General features: G+C 41.0%; 1 long non-coding RNA gene across 1 annotated transcript; it reads left to right on the top strand.

The window, feature by feature from the left end:
* LOC105379309 (uncharacterized) lies at positions 8057–15853 on the top strand. Its single transcript, XR_001745699.2, has 3 exons — positions 8057–8145; positions 11675–11750; positions 11893–15853. It is a non-coding gene; the product is annotated as an uncharacterized LOC105379309 (long non-coding RNA).
* Positions 15854–16796: the final 943 nt, after the last annotated feature.

Below are 16796 nucleotides of genomic sequence, written 5' to 3'. Positions count from 1 at the left end.
ATTCTTTTTACTCCCTAAAAAACAATTATTGCCCCCTTGGCAATGCTGCTTCTCCCATTAATCATGCATGGTCTTGAGTGTCAGCCACACATATTCTGTTGGATGTCTCGCTGGCCCTCAGTGTTGTCCCTTGACTTTAAATAAGAGGTCACTGGGAGGATCCAGAAACCGCTAAGTGCTAGGAATGTATCTTTGTGCAAGATAGTCATTGTCCTTGTCTTTGAAGAAAATAAAAATATTTTTCCCCAAAATATTTTTGACATATTTTGCAATGGCTGTTCGGAGAGTCAGCAAACACATGTAACCCTACAAAGCTGTTTTTATTGGGGAGGGTTAGTTTTTCAGGGCTGGGCACATTACCCAAATCAAGCCAGTGATTACCAAGTGCATCTGTAGAGAATCTGCATTGAGGCAGCCAGGCCTTCCCTTGGCCACATCTAGGGAAGATGAACTGAGAATCTGATGCTTTTAAACATGTGAAAGAAACATTTGCCATCTTTTCTGTCTGAGAGCTGCTACCTGTGAGGTCTCATGTACATAACAAGACCACCTTTGCCAGCCAGGCCTCCTCTTCTCCATCACCATAAACTGTTTGGCCATAATCCAAGACCCCATTCTTTTTGTAACCCTAAGTGGGTATATAAACTTCTAAACCCCGTTGTTGTGGGGGGTGGTAATCACTGTGATTCTCTCCCATGTGCACATTAATGAATTTGTATGCCTTTTCTCCAATTAATCTGCCTTTCGTGAGTTGATTTTTCAGCGGAACTTTTAGAGGGCAAAGGGAACATTTTCCCTTGGCCCCTACATCCTCATACTTATGGTGTTGTACAGTTTATTAAATTGCAAAAATAATTAAATTACAAATATGAGGCTGGGCATTGTGGCGCTCTTGCCTATAATTCCAGCACTTTGGGAGGCTGAGTTAGGTGGACCCCTTGAGCCCAGGAGTTCAAGATGACCAGCCTAAGCAACATGGTGAAACCCCAACTCTGTAAAATACAAAAAAAAAAAAAAATTAGCTGGGTATGGTGGCACATGCCTGTGGTACCAGCTACTTGGGAGGCTGAGGTGGAAGTATCTCTTAAGCCCAGGTAGGTCAAGGCAGCAGTAAGCCATGATCTCGCCACTGCACATCAGCCTGGGTGACAGAGACAGAACGTGTTTCCAAAAAAAAAAAAAAAAAAAGTACAAATATGGCTTCTGCATCTAAGTAAGATGTAATAAGTAGCAGAAAGTTATTACTCCTACTGCAACATAAGGAATTGCTCACTTTTCCTCCCGCCGTGGACGGACTGTTCCTGGGTACGGTAGTTTTATATCATTCTCAGGAGATATCCTGCAAGATCAAGCAGCCAGCTTGTCCAGTTCTATGAGGCACTTCTTTGTATTTGTGTTTCCTCCTTCCTTTGCCTCACTTCCTCTTTTCGCCTTATTCTTATTTCTCTGGGATTGCGTCTCTCCCCCAACCCCCATAAAAGTAACAGCACATACAATTTTGATTCAAGCATTGTTATTGTTTTCTAGGGAACCCAGGACAAGTTATTAGGGAATTAATTTATAAATCTGTCTCCATAGTTACGAGGGTTAGGAGTTTTATTTAGTAAAATAGGAGCCAAGAAAGTTTCATTTTCTAGATTTTTCACTTCCTAACTCTCAACTATTAGTAGTAATAGTACAAACCATTTGAGACTCGAATCCCCTTTCCAGCCTGTTTCTTTTAATAAGGCAGACATTATTTAAAGGGCACTGTTTTTGATAAGTTCCTATGCATTGCCTCCTGAGGGAGGCCCTCTTTTTTTATGTGAGTTGAAAAAGCATTTAACCCTAACAAACTGTGTTTAGAACAGTATTTTTTCACTGAATTTTTTGAATGCCTAAGAGGGCAGCTTTCATGTTGGATGATAACCAAGACAAGCAAGTTTTCTCCAGGTCAGGTATAAATTCATCTGAAGCAGACAATCTTTCTAAGAATGTTGATGATAGCATTCTACAGGAGCAAGAGGGAGAGGAGTGAGGAAGGTTGGAATTAGCTATTTAAGGAAGGCAGTGGTCTATTCTGTGTCAATGAAAAGAGGTCAAATTCTATAAAATATTTGAAGAGATTTATTGTGAGCCAAATATGAGTGACCATGGCCCATGACACAGCCCTCAGGAGACCCTGAGAACATGTGCCTAAGGTGGTCAGGGCACGGCTTGGTTTTATACATTTTAGGAAGACATGAGACATCAATCAAATACATTTAAGATATACATTGGCTTAGTCCAGAAAGGCGGGACAACTCGAAGATGAAGGGTGGTTCCGGGTTATAGGTAGATTTAAAAATGTTCTGATTGGCAATTGGTTGAAAAGTGAAATGTGTAGGTTATGATAAGAGGTTGTGGAGAGCAAAGTTTGATCATGTAGATGAAACCTCCAGGTAGCAGGATTCAGAGAGAGTAGATTATACATATTTCTTATCAGACTCAGGGTCTGTGTTGATGTTAAATGCTGGTCGGCTTTTCCTGAATTCCAAAAGGGAGGAGAGCATAATGAGGCATGTCTGACACACCCACCCTTCCCATCATGGCCTGAAGTAGTCTTTCAGGTTAACTCTGGGGTCCCCTGGCTGAGGAGGGAGTCCATTCAGATGGTTGGGTAGGGAGGTGCTTAGAATTTTATTTTTGGTTTCCACCTGAATCTTTAGTGTTGTCCAAAGGGACCATGGAGTAGAAGCAGTGAAAGAATAACATATAGGTGCAGCCATAAAAATAAAATGAGTTCATGTCCATTGCAGGGATATGGATGAAGCTGGAAACCATCATTCTCAGCAAACTAACACAGGAACAGAAAACCAAACACCACATGTTCTCACTCATAAGTGGAAGTCAAACAATGAGAACACATGGACACAGGGAGGGGAACATCACACACTGGGGCCTGTCAGGGGTTGGAGGGAAGAGGAGGGAGAGCATTAGGACAAATACCTAATGCATGTGGGGCTTAAAACCTAGATGATGGGTTGATAGGTGCAGCAAACCATCATGGCACATGCATACCTATGTAACAAACCTGCACATTCTGCACACATATCCCAGAACTTAAAGTAAAATTTTAAAACAATGGAAATTTGTCTTTACTTATAAAATTGAAACAAAAGTTTCCTCTTTATAATATTGAAAAAAAGGGAATAACTTATAGGCACAACATGGGCAAATTCATAGGATTCTTTTTGTTTGTTTCAGTCAAGTTTTTTACATATAAACTTAGTAGAAGTTCAATGTGAAGTATCTGTGTAAAAGGACGTGTTCTCTCTCTTAATGAGAATTCTTAAGGAATTCTCATTTCTTTTCTCAAAACAAGTTGAGATAAGAAACGAGAATTCCTGATACCTAGTTACAGTGCTAAGTAGCATCCACCCCTGGAAGCAGTATAAGTTAGGTCTGTGCTTCCCAGGATAGACCATCAGACCAACTTATTATTGTTATTATTGTTGTTGTTTTACAGATCAACCCCTGTATTACATCTTTTCTATTTATTTATTTACTTTTGACCATCTAGACTCCCCACTTTTGGTCAAAGCACTCTAAATTTTTACTACCACTCCAATATAGATCCATGTTTAGGAGTAGAATTAATCCCTACTTCTGGATCTAGGGTTGAACATGGGATCCTAGTCTAGCCAATTAGTATCTCCCACCCCTTAGTCAGCGGGTTAGTTTTTCAGGGCTGGGCAGATTATTCAAATCAAGCCAATGATTATCAGGTTTGAAGGTCAGATAGCGAGAAGAGCCTGCCTGAACAAACCCAACAAAGAGGCAGGCTGGCACAAGTCTACGTCCTGGTCTCCTTCTGCGGCCTCTGCATCTGGTCCCACCAGAGCTTTTTGCATTAGTATCACATCCCTAGTGAAAGAATGGAGGATTCAGAGTACCAGATATTTTTCATCTTTGGTCTTTGATTTTTCTATGTAAAGTGACAAAATATCAACACGAAAAGTGAAAAATTCAGTCACTGATTCATGTTGTCTACATATTTTGATGCATATAAATGTACCAAACAAAATTGTACATAGTTTGATATATGTGAATATTCAGTGCTATTTAAGTAAAATGTATAATTTCAGCTTATTATCTTAAGCACTTGATATCCCCATCACTGAACACATCACAGGCCCTCAATAAATATTTACTGATTTTTTTCTGTGTAATATTCAAATGAGTATTAAAGAAAACAGTTACAATTTGCCCTTATGTTTATGTATTCTGAAATTAGTTGTGGTCACCAGGGGTCAAGAATCAAGGGTGTTATGTTATTATTATCAATATTATTATTATTTTGTTAAGGAAAATGAGATACATGAACAATTACTATTGAATGCTACTGAGAGGAGAAGGTTTAAGTCCTTATTTTTCTATTAATAATGTCAGCTGAGGGTTGGCGGTTGACCTCACCAGTCTGAGCCTCTCAGTCTCTTTATTTGTAAAAATGACATTATAATATTTTCCCTGCCTACCTTATGAGAGTGTTTTGAAATCAAATAGGGTCATTTTTAAGAGGAACTTGTGAACTGAAGAGTACTATATAAATGTTGCTGTTTAGGGATTATTTGTACCTTCTTAATGATGTTTCTTCCTTTTGAGGTATGACACAGTATCATTTTGAAATGTTATCTTGCTTTCCAAAAAGTAAACCTCCCAAGCTAATAAGTAAAAATAATGACAAGAAATAAGTTGCACATTGTATTTACTCAAATTGATGACATATCTGAAACTGTGCTGACACCTGACTGGAAAGTGAATTCCACTCAGAATTGCTCTTGCTCAGTTTCTACTACAGCGACATGCAAGAGCTTTTCCTAAGTCTCAGAATTTTACCCTTGAAAAATTACAGTCCTAAGAAATACACCAGGAAATGGCTTTGGAACCCAGAGCCCAGAGGCCAATTCTCAGTATGGGAACTTAGAGAAAATGTAGAGATAATGCTTTATATGTGTTCAAAGTCAACCACCCCCACGGTGCTGGTCCTTAAATGGATTGATTTCTGTGCTTGTGAATTTCCTAGAGCATGAAGTCTTATAGGAGAGCTGTCTCTTGCACTCTGCTACTTATATGTCACCCTGGAAGAGTCCATCAGGAGATAAGCCTGTTTGACGCCTTAGCTTCTTATTTATATTGTCTTTAAGATGCTCTGGAGGCATCTGTTTAGATGGTATTTGTGAATATGGAGACTTCGGAAGGACTTAGCAGGCAGTTTGTGGCCACTGACCTTTGTCCCTTCATTTTGTTGGCAGCTTGACTTCTAATTCCCAGTGGTCTGGATCGAGGTGAGAGGTGGTGCTCCCTGGAGTGAAACCTAGACCAGAACATCATAGGCATCGAATTTGTTGCTGGACAGGTCCCAGCTTTGCTTCTCCTCTCTTGTTTGCTTTGCCTTGCAAAAGCCCTAATGAATATAAATAATCCGAACCCTAAGTTCCTAGAATGATCTCAACCAGGAGAACAGAGCGAGGAGGTTTTTCCTTCAGAGCAAGACTACACTGTATTCCCAAATATGATCTTTTATTTCTTAATCTCACAGATTCCTGTTGGGTGCTTGTCTATCTCCTAAAACTAACACCTCATTCATCTTATGAGAGAGAACTTCTTGTTTTTAGATCTAATTGATTGGAAAGGAAGAAATTAATTTTTGTCTATTTTACTGTTTTTCTCTATTACAAAATGGCATTATTCTTTTTATATATATAACACATATATAATATATAGGCATAATTCTTTATATATATAATATACATTATGTAAATTTTATATATATATATGGATTGAGGTGAGAGGTGGCGCTCCCTGGACTGAACCCTAGACCAGAACATCATAGGCATCAAGTTTGTTGCTGGACATATATACACACATACTCTAAGTTCTGGGATATATGTGCAGAACTTGCAGATTTGTTACACATATACACGTTATAGGTGTACACGTGCCATGGTGGTTTGCTGCACCCATTAACCCATCATCTACTTTAGGTACTTCTCCTAATGCTATCCCTCCCCTAGTCCTCCACCCCCTGATAGGCCCTCATGTGTGATGTTCCCCTCCCTGTGTCCATGTGTTCTCATTGTTCAACTCCCACTTATGAGTGAGAACATGCGGTATTTGGTTTTCTGTTCCTCTGTTAGTCTGCTGAGATTGATGGTTTCCAGCTTCGTCCATGTCCCTGCAAAGGACATGAACTCATCCTTTTTTATGGCTACATAGTATTCCCTTGTGTATATGTGCCACATTTTCTTTATCCAGTCTATCATTGATGGGCATTTGGGTTGGTTCCAAGTCTCTGCTATTGTGAAGAGTGCTGAAATAAACGTACATGTGTATGTGTCTTTATAGTAGAATGATTTATAATCCTTTGGTTATATACCCAGTAATGGGATTGCTGGGTCAAATGGTATTTCTAGTTCTAGATTCTTGAGGAATTGCCACACTGTCTTCCACAATGGTTGAACTAATTTACACTCCCACCAACGGTGTAAAAGCGTTCCTATTTCTCCACATCTCTCCGGCATGTGTTGTTTCCTGGCTTTTTAATGATCACCATTCTAACAGGCATGAGATGGTTATCTCACTGTGTTTTTGATCTGCATTTCTCCAATGAGCAGTGATGATGAGCTTTTTTTATATATTTATTGGCCACATAAATGTCTTCTTTTGAGAAGTGTCTGTTCATATCCTTTGCCCACTTTTTGATTTTTTTTTCCTGGTAAATTTGTTTAAGTTCTTTTTAGATTCTGAATATTAGCCCTTTTTCAGATGGATAGATTGCAAACATTTTTTCCCATTCTGTAGGTTGCCTGCTCACTCTAATGGTAGTTTCTTTTGCTGTGCAGAAGTTCTTTAGTTTAATTAGATCCCATTTGTCAGTTTTGGCTTTTGTTGCCATTGCTTTTGGTATTTCAGTCATGAAGTCTTTGTCCATGCCTATGTCCTGAATGGTATTGCCTAGGTTTTCTTCTAGGGTTTTTATCGTTTTAGGTCTTACGTTTAAGTCTTTAATCCATCTTGAGTTAATTTTTGTATAAGGCGTAAGGAAGGGGTCCAATTTCAGTTTTCTGCATATAGCTAGCCAGTTTTCCCAGCACTATTTATTAAACAGGGAATCTTTTCCCCATTCCTTGTATTTGTCAGGTTTGTCAAAGATCAGATGGTTGTAGATGTGTGGTGCTATTTCTGAGGCCTCTGTTCTGTTCCATTGGTCTATATATCTGTTTTGATATCAGTACATTGCTGTTTCGGTTACCATAGCCTTGTAGTGTAGTTTGAAGTAAGGTAGTGTGATGCTTCCAGCTTTGTTCTTTTTGTTTAGGATTGTCTTGGCTATGCGGTCTCTTTTTTGGTTCCGTATGAAATTTAAAGTAGTTTTTTTCTAATTCTGTGAAGAAAGTCAATGGCAGCTTGATGGGGACAGCATTGAATCTATAAATTACTTTGGGCAGTATGGGCAAAATGGCATAAGAGGTCAAGAATAACTGCATTACATGGAAATAATGTATTCTCAAATTTGGAGATTTTATTTTTATAAAGCAGAGTTGTTACTGAATATAGATTTGGATATTTGTTTTGCAAGGCAGTAATATTTTTTGTGTGCACGTTTTGGTTTGAGTTGGGTTTTCTGTTTTTAGAATTCTTCGGGGAGCACTCATATTTGGTTCTTGTTTTTGCAGTGGCTGTGGAACCATTCTGAACTTTGAAATATTTCATTGTAAAAATGTTTGCCCTTGGAGATTTAATCAACTAGAATTCATTTTTCCAAACACTGCAAATTTTGATTGTTTTTAAATGGCTGAAGTTTTTAGCCAAAAATCTGCTAACAATCTATCAGGTTCTCACTTAAGATATGGGATTGGACCAGTAATCTTGGAAGGTCTCTATAATTTGGTGCTTTTCAATGGGATCAGCCCATGTTTTGGGAAGACATGCTAGAGAGAGATGAAAAGACTGCCTGCTCTTGTACAATGTATTTGACTACCAAGGAGTTAGTAAGTGGAGCTATCATTTTTATGATATTGGTTTCGTTTTGCAGCTGGGAGTTAAAAAAAATTCTGCCGTAGCCTACCGCCTCATGACTTTGAGTCTGTCTGTATTACACCAAGACAACATAGAAGTTATGAGGTAAGTTACCTATATGACATCAAGTACCTGAATATTTGTAAACCTTTTGATAGCTTTGCATATTTTTCCAGTTTTCAGTCTATACATGTAGTACAGTGACTGAACCCAATGTGTGAATTCTGCTTCATGACGGTGATTCATTGCATAGTACAGACAGGTCATCAGACATCTAATTTCACGCCACTGCAATCCTAGACCCCGTATTTTCCTTACACCTTACCAATAATTATGTCATCATTACATAATGGCCACAGGGTTGTAAATATATACGTGGAGAAAGTTTCAAAATGACCAGAAGGCAGTTAAGTAAATTAATCAATTACAACCGAATTGTAGGTGCATTTTGCCATGAAGTTCCCTTTATACCATACCAGGTGCCTATTTTTCTGCCTAAGATGACTAACGAAACGTCAGGGGAGACAGCCACCATTTTCTGAAGGCTCCAAAGGCCTTTGGACCATCTGTCTACATCTCCACTGCCTAATGAAGGTTTCCCTTCTTTGGGGCACCTAAAGGAAATTTAAAATTCAAGCTAATAATAGGAAATACGTGTGATGGCATCCTTTGCACTTTCCCACAAGCTGCTCTTTCATTCAAATCCCTATTTAATTATGTTCGTGATCAGTCGTTTAGAGGAAGTGAGTAACTTGTTCCAAGGGTCTTGCATGGAGACTCTGTTGGCATGTCGCCCAGAAGCCATAGAGCAGAGACTAGTGAGGAAAATTTAAAATGGGTAGAATTAGGGCTTGGAGATCAGGGAGGCACAAACTTGGGACTCTTTACGTGCATTTTCTTAGCACATACGTTTCATGTTGGAAGCACAGCCAATTTGTCTCTCAGAAAAGTCTAAGCAACATAGCACACCCCATCTCTAAAAAAAAGGGTTTTTTTTAAATTAGCCAGTTGTGGTGGTGCATGCACAGCCACTGTCCCCCAAGTGAGCAGGAAGCCGTTTAGTGGTGCAGACACCCATCCCTCACTCTCCTCTTGCACTGGCATTTGAATTCCTCTTTAGAATTCAAAGAACATTCCATGTGCATCCTGTTTGCTCTCACAATAGCCTTAAGAGGTAGATAGGGCAAGAAATAGTATCTTCATGTTATTTTATTTATTTATTTAGAGACAGAGTCTCGCTCTGTCACCCAGGCTGGAGTGCAGTGCTGCAATCTCGATTTGCTGTAACCTCTTCTTCCTGGGTTCAAGTGATTCTTATGCCTCAGCCTCTCCTGAGTAGCTGGGACTACAGAGCTGCGCCACCACGCCCAGCTAATTTTTGTATTTTCAGTAGAGGCAGGGTTTCGCCATGTTGGCCAGGCTGGTCTTGAACTGCTGGCCTCAAGTGATCTGTCTGCCTCAGCCTCCTGAAGTGCTGTGATTACAGGCGTGAGCCACCGCGCCCAGCCAGTACCTTCATTTTGCATGTAAGGTAAGTGAAGCTCACTGATGCTCAGGACTTGCTTAAAGGCATGCTGGGAACCAGGTGTAGTGGTTCACACCTATAGCCCAGTGCTTCAGGAGGCCAAGGCAGGAGGATCCCTTGATACCAGGGATTTGAGACCAGCCTGGGCAGCAGAACAAAAGATAAGAATTAGTCAGGTGTGGAGGCACACGCCTGTTGTCCCAGCTACTCTAGAGACTGAGGTGAAACGATTGCTTGAGCCCAGAAGTTCAAGGGTGTAGTGGACTATGATCATGCCACTACACTCCATCCATTCTGGGCAACAGAGCAAGATCTTGTTTCTAAAGCAAAAACTAAAATAAAATAAAAGGCATGCTGGGTGGCTAAACTCCATCTCCTCTTTCCCTGGGGCTCCCCTGTGGGATGCCCTCTTCCAAAGTCCTGCTAGAATTTGAATCAGGACTCTCAGAGGGCACCCACCAGAGGACCCCAATGAGGGGATGGAAACAAATTAACCTCCACCATCACCAGCCCTATGCCCTGGGATTTGTGTGCATGCTCTCATTTAGTCCCTTCCACCTAAGAGGAACCATCATCCACATTTAACTCTGAGGAAAGTAGGGCTTAGAAAAGTTTAGTGACTTTTCCAAATTCACACAGCTAGTACGTAGTGAAGCTTATTCATTACACACGTCCCTGGTGTTTGAATTATGCCATCCTGACATCACCACAACTCAGAGGGCCAGAGGGGCTCTTGATCTTATCTGCTCCCGCTCTCCCATTTCACACATCTGGAAACTGAGGCCCTGGTGTTTGACGCATACTTGCCCAAGTAATGGCTGTGTTGTGCTGAAGCTCCAGCCTCCTGATCCTCATCCTATTACTCTTTTCACTGTCCCATAGTGGGCTGCAGAGGAACTGTTGAGGTCCTGGTGCTGTCTGTGACCAAGGAAAACGGTGGCTTCCCATTCCAAGGTCTGGCCTGGAGCCCTGAACTGTGGTGGTCCCCCTGCGATGGCGGGACACAGGCGTTCCAGCCCTTTTACCTGGCCTAGCTTCCAATTACTACTCCTACTTTTGCAGCTAACTCCACATAACCTGTCCCCAACACTTTCCTCCCCTTCTCCTTTCCCCTTACACATTTCTACTCCACATGTTTGTAAAGGTCTGAGTGTGTGGTGAATGTTACGAGAACTTGACATGCTGGAGGAAAATAAAAATCAGTTTCATCTTCCTTTCAGCATGCCCCATTTTCAGCAAGTGGTTTTTGTTTTTTGTTTTGTTTTTAGAGACAGAGTCTCGCTCTGTCATACAGTGCAATGGCATGATCATAGCTCACTGCAGCCTCGAAATCCTGGGATCAAGCAATCCTCCCACCTCAGCTTCCTGAGTAGCTTGGACTACAGGCATGTAACACCATGCTGGGCAATTTTTTTTTTTTTTTTTTTTTGGCAGAGATGGGATCTTGCTATGTTCCACAAGCTGGTCTCAAATCCCTGAGCTCAAGCGGTCCTCCTGCCTCAACCTCCCAAAGTGCTGGTAGGCCTCAGCAACTGTTTTGATTCTGGTATTTACATCTCAACTAAATCTTGTGTGGAAAGCTGTGGGTGGAGAGGAGCTGGAGGGTCTTGACCTGAACTTTGGTTCAGGTGACCTTTCAAGTTTCACATGAAATGTAAAAATACCCTGGCTGCACTTAAATCATTGCCTCCCTTACATAACATGTTTATAGTCATAAATCCAATTCTGTAGCCATTTTACACATAGAAGTCACAGTTAGGACTCCAGGGGCCACTACAAGCAGGAAGCAAAGCCACGGCTTCATACAGGAGGCTTTGGAAACCCAGTTCCCTTTTCTCACTTTTGACATTTGAGCTAGGCCCACCATTCCCATCTCCTTTAAATAAATGCGATTGCCCATTGATATGGTTGGGCTGTGTCCCCACACAGATCTCCTCTCGAATTGTAATCCCTATAATCCCCACACGTCGAGGGCGGGGCCTGGTGGGAAATTACTGGGTCATGGGGATGGTTTCCCCCATGCTGTTCTCATGAGAATGAGTTCTCACTAGATCTGTTGGTTTTATAAGGGGCCCTTCCCTCTTCACTCACTCCACTTCTTTCCTCCAGCCTTGTGAAGGAGGTGCCTGCTTCGCCTTCCTCCATGATTGTAAATTTCCTGAGGCCTCATCAGCCATGTGGAACTGTGAGTCAATTAAACCTCTTTCCTTTATAAATTACCCAGTCTCGGGTATTTCTTTATAGTAGTGAGAGAATGGACTAATAAACCCATTTAGGATTTTCTAGTTCACAAGACACCTTTCTGTTTTTTCTCTGTCCTCTTCTAGACTACAGAATCCTGGCGAGGAACCTATTCCTATATTTACCTCCATCTCTCTGGTACCTGGCCTAAGTCTACACAGTAGGTATGTAAACATTGTTGAACAAATATATGCTGTTCTTATCACAAGTGTTGGTAGTAGGATTACCAGTGTCTATGTTTTACGTAAGAGAAAGCAGCTTCCAAAAAAGGTTGGGATCTGTTCAGGCCTCAGCTTCGAAGTGCAGGCCTTCTAATAATAGAGACTGAATTTTTCCACTTATGTCTGGCTACATGCAACAGACGCAGCTTTGAATTTGGAGCTTCTGTGTTCCTTCTTGCTAGATCCAGGAATGGAAGTGGGTTAGGTGCCTGTTTGCTGGCCTTGTGATTAACACAGCATCACTTGACCTCTAGGACATTCTTGTTGATTTCTGTGGGCCATTCCCATTGGCAGCTGGGGTGGGAGGCAGGGGCAGGTGTCTAAATAGAATAAGGCTACTCTAACTACCTTAGAGTTTTACAGAGCCTCAAATAAGAGAATGGGTGTGAAAACTTTTTTTTTTTAATTTGTAAGAACACTATACCAAAAGGCATACTGTTAATAATGATTGCTGGGCACAGTGGTTCACCCTTGTAATTCCAGCATATTGGGTGGCCAAGGCAGGAGGATGGTTGAGCCCAGGAGTTCAAGACCAGCCTGGGCAACACGGCAAAACTCTCTCTACAAAAAATAACAAAAATTAGCCAGGCATGCTGTCATGCACCTGTAGTTCCAGCTACTCAGGAGACTGTGGTGGGAGGATCACCTGAGCCTGGTGAGATCGAGACTGCAATGAGCCATAATTGCACCCCTGTACTCCAGCCTAGGTGACAGAGTGAAACCTTGTCTCAAAATTAATAGTAAAAATGATGATAAATAAATTATTAGGTTCATTTACCGTTAGGCTCTTGTATTCACTTTTCATAGTGTGAATAAGTTTGTGCTGTCAAATCTTGCTCACACTGGCCTAGGCAATTCTCTGACTTCCTGGATTCCTCTAGAATTTACTTTGTATTTTCACATGTTTTGTAGTGGTTTGCTCCAGTGGATGTCTACTTCTGGACTTTTTCATTTTAGGACTTCCTGGTTTTAGAGTACTGCCTTGTGTGCCTGCCACTTTCAGGTTTTGGAGGAGAGTACATATTAGGCAATTTTTCCCTTTTATTTAACCTTTTCTACCACAATTGAGCAACTTAAGAAACTGTTCTCTGATATTTCTCAGTCTTAACAGTGACACAAGTTCTATGGGGCAATATTATTCTATTTTAAAATGTCTTTATCTTACTCAATTCACTTGGCTTGCTGTTTGCCTGATTGGCTAGACATTGGAAACTGTGGAAGACATTTTCACAATGGTTTGACATTTCAAACTCCATGCAAATGTTGAAAACTAGGAAACTTCCAGAAACCCTAATGTCAGACCAAAATTTAATTTAAAATGTTTAATACATGAGCTATTCAAATGTTTCCAGATTTATCCTGAAATCTGCTCCAGGAGTTCTGTACATCTCATGTTGCAGGTAAGAAATGGAAGCCGGACACACAGTGGGTTGTTTAGGGTCATGAACTCTGGTGGGAGGAGAATCTCAGACGCCTGGCTGAGTTTCCCTAAGTCGCACCACCTGCCTTGCAGTGGTCTGGGCACCTGTTGCTGCAGAGAGTTGCCAACCCCATATCCTGTGAGTCTCCGTCCTTGAGCACCAAGTATCTAATCACTCTTTCTCTCTCAGGGCTGCGGTGCTGTGAAGATTTCGGCATCCTGCACTCATGGCCATGTTTAGTCTATGGTCACATTGACACTAGAGAGTTTCAGGGACCAGTGCAGTATGCCCAGGTCTGACATGGGCTTCCAAAATGTATGTGAACAGAGTAAGAATGATACTTTTTTGCTTTTCAAAATATTTCACAGCTTAGGTGGCACTTACCCTTATCCCTTCTTTTCTGTCTTTACTGATAAATACTCATCACCTTAGATTATTTTAACATCTAACAACTTTCAGTTGCAATTAGAAAATATCTTTAGACATGTTAATTATAAAAATATTCTTCATTTATGAAATTGATTACGCCTAGTGACTTCATTCACCAATTGTCTCAAAATCTTGCCTTTAAACTACCCTCAGGAGGAATCTCCATGTTCACAAAAGAAAAGAGGGCAAAGGCCAGGCACAGTGGCTCACACCTATAATCCCAGCACTTTGAGAGGCTGAGGTGGGAGGATTGCTTGAACCTAGGAGTTCCAGACCAGCGTGGGCAACATGATGAAACCCCGTCTCTACTAAAAATACAAAAAAATTAGCTGGGCGTGGAGGTGCCCCTGTGGTCCCAGTTACTTGGGAGGATGTAGTGGAAGGATTATCTGAGCTTAGGGGGTTGAGGCTGCAGTGAGTCACTGCACTCCAGCCTGGACAACAGACCCAGACTCTGTCTCAAAGAAAAGAAGAGAAAAGAAGGAAAGGGAGGAGGGAGGAGGGAAGAGGGAGAAGGGAGAAGGGAGAAAGGAGAAGGGAAGGGAAGGGAAAGGAAGGGAAGGGAAAGTGGGCACAGAAGGAAAGCCGAGTGGAAGGGAAAGTGGGCACAGAAGGAAAGCCGAGTGGGAATAGAAGCAAAGCCAGAGGTGTCCCTCTTATCTCTCAGAGTGTTCTATATTTATAAATCCATTGAGTCCATTTTCCCTATGCCTTTAGAGAAATCACTGAGTCTCTGGGGGCAGGGTGGGGACTTGGGTAAATTCAGTTAAAGGTGATTTTAGAAATACTCTGTTCTCTGACGTAAGCCACCCTTGCTCTGGTGGGCACCTGGTTCACCTCTGAGCAGCAGTGACCATCTGAAATGCTCCTTTATGCTGAATCCAAATCTCAGTTCCCCTCATGTTATTTATTGAAGAAAATAATCCCTGTGCCTGAAACAGGTACTATGAAAGATATTACCTTTCTATTTATAGAAATTATAATTATAGAAATTATAATCTATTTATAGAGATTATAATTATAGAGATAAAGAAAATGTCTCTTTGCTTTCCAGTTAATCTGAGTGTAGCCACGTTGGAAACCATGCCTTAAAAAGCGAATTACAAAGATGAATACAGTGACAAATACAGTACAATTTGATAAAGTTATTTGGACATGGAAATCCCCATGGAGTACTGGCCGCATAAACTGTGAACTTAGGCAAAGCACCACTGTCGCAAATGTGACACTTTACCCAAATTATAGGCCTTGGGCAAAAAGCAAGTAACTTCAGAATCCAAACTTGCAAATATGCTAACACACACAAGGGCTTTAAGTAGCTGTAGGATCAAAGGCAAGATTTTAAAACTCAGGTTGATTGGGATGTAATTTGCATAGTAAAATTTACCCATGTTAGTATGAGTTTTGATCAATGCATTCAGCCATCATGATATAGAACAGTTCCATCATCCAGAAAACTTCTCTGGTGTGCTTTTGTAATCAACCCCTCCCCTCACTGCCAAGCCTTGGCAACCACTGGTTCATAATCTGTATAATTTGAAGACAGGATTCTTAATCTTTGTAAGTCTTGGTTTTCTGATTCATCATATGAGAATACTAACACCATCATCTCTGTCATAGAGTTGTTGAAACGATTAAGTAAGATCATACATGTAAAATGCTTGGTACATGCGTGGTGCAACAAGCACTAAATAAGTCTTAGTGATTTATTATTATTATTAAAATGCTGAGTATTGAGAAGTTGTAACCCAGAAGACACAATAGCATAAGTAAGAGTAAGTTCGAGTTTGTAAAACACAATCTTCCATGTAATATAGAAGCTTTTTTTTTTGAAAAACAGAGTCTCATTCTGTCGCCCAGGCTGGAGTGTAGTGGCACAATCTCAGCTCAGTGCAAGCTCCACCTCCCAGGTTCAAGCAATTCTTCTGCCTCAGCTTCCCAAGTAGCTAGAATTACAGGCATGCACCACTAAACCCAGCTAATTTTTTTGTGTATTTTTAGTAGAGATGGGTTTCACTATGTTGGCCAGGCTGGTCTCAAACTCCTGACCTCAAGTGATCCACCTCAGCCTTCCAAAGTGCTGGGATTACAGGCGTGAGCCACCATGCCCGGCCAAGAAACATTTTATATGGTACTCTGACAATCGGTGGCCAAGCCTAAATTAGAATGCCTCCAATAGTGGGAAACTCAGGGTTTCTCCAGGCAGTTTATTACATGGTTGGACAGTAATGGTTATTTAAATGTTTCTTTTTGCCTTTCCATACCTTTTACTCAGAAATCACAAGTACAATTTCTCTATCAAATAATGTCTTGAAATATTGGAAGAGAGTAACCTCACCTCTCCTTAGTCCTATTCCTGAGATTTTTCCCCACTAAAGAAGACCAAAAAAAAAAAAGGTAAAACTAGGTGTTATTTTTAGGTGCTGAAAGGATATTGATTGTACCTCGGTATATAAACTAGTGTTCTAAGAGAATTACTCAAAGATGAATGCACTCTAAATAGAGGTAATTATTCCTCTACCCCTAAGCTGTTTAAATCTTGGTTGAAGAATAATTTATCAGGGATGCAGTAAGATCTGGAATATTATATTGGTAGTTGAACGAAGTAATTGCTAAGTTCCTTCTAGCCTGAGGGATATGATTCTACATACATTTGTTCTTACTGTCATATTCCTATGTGACAGTTAATTTCATGCGTATCTTGACTGGACCGTGGGGTTCCCAGATATTCGGTGTTTCTGTGAGCGTGCTTTTCATGAGATTGATGTTTAAGTGGGGAAACTGAGTAAAGCAGATTGCCCACTCTAATGTGGGTGGACCTCATCTAGTGGGTTGAAGGCCTGCATAGAACAAAAAGGCTGACCCTCCCTGAGAAGGAGAGAATGCTCTCCTTCTATGTGATCATCTTCACTCTGGTAC

This window comes from Homo sapiens, chromosome 8 (genome assembly GCF_000001405.40).
Source record: "Homo sapiens chromosome 8, GRCh38.p14 Primary Assembly".
Classification (NCBI taxonomy): Eukaryota; Metazoa; Chordata; class Mammalia; order Primates; family Hominidae; genus Homo; species Homo sapiens.
Note: the sequence above shows the minus strand (reverse complement) of the source record. Positions and strands in the feature narration are given on the sequence as shown.